Below are 2,934 nucleotides of genomic sequence, written 5' to 3'. Positions count from 1 at the left end.
CGTGTTTATGGTGATACTGGTGTAAACAAAGCTACTGCACTGCCAGTCATATAAGAGTATACAGCACATAACGATTATATACAAACAATACATACTACTTGATAGTGAAAATAAATGACTATGTTACTACTCTTACATATTTACTATACTATGCTTTTTATTGTTGGGGTGTACTCCTTCTACTTACTACAAATAGTTCACTGTAAAACAGCCCCAGGCAGGTACTTCAGGAGGAATTCCAGAAGGCTATATTGTTATCACAGGAAATGACAGCTCCATGAGTGTTATTGCTCCTGAAGACCTTCCAGTGGGACAAGATGTGGAAGTGAAAGACAATGATATTGATTATTCTGACCCTATGTAGGCCTATGCTAATGCGTGTGTGTCTTAATTCTTTTTTTAAATGTTTAAAAAGTAAAAAAAAAGGAAAAATTAATATATAAAAAAAAATTTATGCAGCTGTACAAAATGTGTTTGTGTCTTAACCTAAGTAGTATTACAAGAGTCCAAAAGTTAAAAATAATTAAAAAGCTTATAAAGTAAAAATGTTACAGTAAGCTCAGATTAATTTATTATTGAAGAAAAAATTTGAAAAAATAAATCTAGTGTAGCCTAAGTGTATGGTGTTTGTAAAGTCTATAGTGGTCTACAGTAATGTCCTAGGCCTTCACATTCACTTCCCACTCATTCACTAACTCACCCGGGGCAACTTACAGTCCTGTAAGCTCTATCCATGGTAAATGCCCTATCCAGGTGCAGCATTAAAAAAAATCTTTTATATCATATTTTTACTGTACCTTTTTATGTTTAGATATGTTTAGACACATAAATACTTACCATTGTGTTACACTGATTACAGTATTCATTACAGTAACATACTGTACAGGTTTGTAGCCTAGGAGCAATAGGCTATACCATATGGCCTAGGTGTGTAGTAGGTTATACCATACAGGTTTGTGTAAGTTGACTCTGTGATGTTCACACAACAACAAAGTCACCTAATGATGCATTTCTTAGAATGTATCCCCATCGTTAAGTGACACATGACTGTATATGTGCTAATATATTTTATGTATTAGATACATTATAAAACATACCCTGACATGAAAATTAAATGAGGACAATACAAAAATGATTATAAATAGAAGTTTTGAGATTATCTTCCTGTGGATTATTTTCCTGGGCTGTGTACACTCCCTGTTTAGAGATTGTTGGCCAAATGAGGTGTGAGCAACTTGAGAGAGGGAGACTGGCAAGTAGGAGGGCTGATGGCTTTGGGGAAAGGAATAGCGCCATGAGGCTAAGGCACAGACATGGGGCTCAAAGAGAGAGTGGCATGAGTTTCTTAGGACCAAAGAGAAAAGAGGGAAAAAGAATGCAGTAAGCTGAAACGGAGCAAAAAGAAGAGAAGAAAGGATGTGTAGCTTGGGGCTGGGGGAATAAGTAGGGTGATTAAAAGAACTGGTGAGTGCTCATTGAGGTGGAGCTTATGGAGAGAAAGGGAGCTAGAAACTCTGGTTGGAGTGGATCTGGCTTATGTGGACCCAGCTAAGTGAGCAGCATGAGGCTGGCTTGTGATTTACCTATTGTTCATATGAGGTACACCCCATAGTCATACAGTGATGACTGACGGCTTGTGCTCAATTGCAGAGTACAGTGTGGGAAGGGCTTACGTGAGATTGGAAAGAGGGAAACCCGTAAATCTCAAGGGAGAATCTTGCACTGATTCTGATAGGCTTATAGGTCACAGGGCACTGTGGCTCAGTGTTAGCTTTTTGAGTCACTTGATAACAGCACTAGGGTGACCAGTCATCCTGATTTGCTCAGGACTGTCCTGGTTATGTGACTGAAAGTCCCAGGTCCCAGAAAACCCCTGAGTTTCAGGCAGTGGTGCTTCAAAACATTCGTAGTAAAGGTCCCATAGAGGGACTGTGTTTTCCAAACCAAAGTGTTTAAATGCATGAATGGAGGAGGCATTTCCCCTCTGACTTCTTAGGGTACATAGACATTTTTTTTTAGGCCAGGCGCGGTAGCTCACACCTGTAATCCCAGCTTTTTGGGTGGCCAAAGTGAGCTAATTGCTTGAGCTCAGGAGTTTGAGACCAGCCTGGACAACATGCCAAAACCCCATCTCTACAAAAGAATACAAAAATAGCTGGGCATGGTGGCGTGTGCCTGTAGTTCTAGCTACTTGGGTGGCTGAGGTGGGAGGATCACTTGAGCCCAGGAGGTCGAGGCTGCAATGAACTGTGAATATGGCACCACTGCACTCCAGCCAGGTCAATAGAGCAAGACCCTGTCTCAAAATTTTTTTTTAAAATATAAAATTAAATCACCTCTAGTTAATGTGTATAATAACTTTGTGATGACACTAAGATGGGAGGAAATCCCCCGTGTGGGAAGTGTTAGGGCTGATGGCCATAGAGGTTTTCATTTACCCACCACACATGCTTTATCTAAGCTGCTTTCAGTATCAGGAGCGGACTCTGTTTCCTGCTCTCAGGAATCACGAGGAGGGTGAGACAAGAGAGCAAACAAGGTAGGGAGGGCTGGTTTCTGTTTGACTAGCTGTAGGCCTGCTCGCCTTCCTGCCACCTCCCAATGTTCAACACATCAACTGCAGGTTCACCTTTAGGTGCTTTTATTCAGGGGAGCTAAAAACTTACTCAAAGGGTTTTTGAGTCATGAGGACAACTAAGACTCCAACCTGCATTTTCTTTCACAAAGGTTTTCTTTAAGTTACTATGTTTATTTTTTTATTTTCACAAAAGTAATATAAACGGTAATATAAAAGTGAGAGAATAAAAAATTTACAAAAAAACCCAAAGGAGGGATGAATAGGTGGAGCACAGGGGGTTTTTAGGGCAGTGAAACCACTGTATGATGCTATGATGGTGGATATATTACACATTTGTCATTATACATGTGTCCAGA

The 2,934-nt window shown here is 40.1% G+C and overlaps 1 annotated feature.

Moving 5' to 3' along the window:
* Positions 1,837 to 1,966: an enhancer, noted in NCBI's record as "active region_20599". NCBI's record gives its function as "activates an Ori minimal core promoter by ATAC-STARR-seq in GM12878 lymphoblastoid cells {active_cell/tissue: GM12878}" and the evidence as "EXISTENCE:reporter gene assay evidence [ECO:0000049][PMID:35858748]".

Source organism: Homo sapiens, chromosome 3 (genome assembly GCF_000001405.40).
Source record: "Homo sapiens chromosome 3, GRCh38.p14 Primary Assembly".
In the NCBI taxonomy this organism is placed as follows: domain Eukaryota; kingdom Metazoa; phylum Chordata; class Mammalia; order Primates; family Hominidae; genus Homo; species Homo sapiens.
Note: the sequence above shows the minus strand (reverse complement) of the source record. Positions and strands in the feature narration are given on the sequence as shown.